This window comes from Homo sapiens, chromosome 7, assembly GCF_000001405.40.
Source record: "Homo sapiens chromosome 7, GRCh38.p14 Primary Assembly".
Taxonomy (NCBI): Eukaryota; Metazoa; Chordata; class Mammalia; order Primates; family Hominidae; genus Homo; species Homo sapiens.
In genome coordinates, this window is record NC_000007.14 from 42,749,594 (window position 1) to 42,751,351 (window position 1,758).

Sequence of the window (1,758 nt, forward strand, 5' to 3'; positions counted from 1 at the left end):
CGCCTAGGCTCAGGAATAAATATGCTCTTGTTTTTCCAGAAACTCCAAAAGGTCCCAAATAGTCCAAAGTAAGGATAGGTATTATGGCACCTTATGTCACCCGTCACTTTCCCACTGGTCTCCCTAATTCCCTTGCATAGACTTCTCCCAGTGTACTCTAGGAAAAAAAACCCGTCATACATATCAATTCCTGTCTAGAAACCCAGGCCCTGGGGAGTAAGGGTATTGGGGTGGGGGTTGGCCTTGGACCCAGGAACTCACATTTTATTTAAGCATACCTGGCTCATGGCTGGTTCATGTCATCCTGTATTTAAGTATACCTCCCTGTGGGAAAAGCCCTCCTTGAGGGGCCAGAACATCTGGAGTCTAGCCACGATTTTACCTTCTACCTTGTGACTTTCAGGTAAATCCTCAATTCTCTCAACTTTTTTCCTATATTTACAATTATGTTAATAACATTCATTCCTACCTCTTTCAGAGAGGTATTGACAGGGATGATTTATGGAAAAATGTTTTGTAGCTGTAAAGCACATAGCAAAGTCAAGGCACTATAGCTGTGATTTCTGGTTTCATCTGGTTTCGAGTTTGACACACCTTCCAATAACTTTTTGATGACTGCAGTTCTCATTCCTCCTTCTTTTGCTCTTTTTCTACCTTTGATACGGTCTTCAGAGAGATGATTGTTCATTCAAGGCATATGTATGAAGAAATCTAGGAGTTTACAGACTTTAAATGGGATTGACTTAATATGTGACCACATCAACAAATAATGCAGAAGCAACCCCACCCTTTCTACAGAGTTCCCTTTTCTGGCATAAATAAAAACTTGAGATGAAAAAAGCGGTAATGACTGCCTGATGAACTTTATCTGTGTTGCTCTCTTTTGAACTCTTGCTCCTTTTCGTTCACTCTTTTTATTTGCCCCCTTGGTCTGTGCTCCCTAAAATAAAGACATGAAGCCAAAATTACAAGGTACCCAAAGGAAAATAAAATTGGATGAAAATGTACCCAGGGACACTGAAGAGAGAAATAGCTAAGAAAATACATATAAAGATAAAAAAGATGAGACAGAAAATTACATAGAATATCCAACATATCCAACATATTTTTAATTTGCACATACTGACATGCCTGTCAAATCAGCCAGTTCCAAAGAAATAAGTACATAATGATATTCTAATTTTATATGTAAGAAAACAAATCCAGGGCAGAAAAGGGAATTCTCCACAGCCAAAGAGCACTGAAAAGAACAGGTCAGTTCAGAGATTCCCTTGGGGTTAAGCAAATAATGGAGGGATGAGGATATTGTGTGTAGAGTTATCTATATGGAAATGAGGAAGAGAGAAACTGATGTATGACTAGGACTCAAAGAACTTTGCCAAAAACATGCAGCTGGGCCATATAAAGACTAAAACAGTTGAGAGCTAAAAGACCACCTAATATGCAATTATCCTCTATCCACCAGTCACGGGGTGAGCATAAGAGTTTTTTGATCGATATTCTTGTGCAAGTTCTCCAACACTATCACAACTTGCTCATCAAAGACTCCATGGGCAGACTGCTCACATCAATACTTCCAACTTTTGACATGAAAAAATGACAACAGTGATGAAGATGATAATGCTGATGACCATAAAGTATTAATCATGTACCATGGGCCAGGCAATGTGTTAAGTATTAGCCCCCTTAGACAGAAAATAAAACTCAGGCTGGGACTTAGATCTAGTAAAATACTTACCTTGCCAATCTGATTACAAA

General features: G+C 38.9%; 1 annotated feature.

The window, feature by feature from the left end:
• Window positions 222-1,421: an enhancer, noted in NCBI's record as "CDK7 strongly-dependent group 2 enhancer chr7:42789414-42790613 (GRCh37/hg19 assembly coordinates)". NCBI's record gives its function as "activates an origin of replication core promoter dependent on BRD2, BRD4, P300/CBP, MED14 and CDK7 cofactors, with strong dependence on CDK7, by STARR-seq in HCT116 cells {active_cell/tissue: HCT116}" and the evidence as "EXISTENCE:reporter gene assay evidence [ECO:0000049][PMID:35650434]".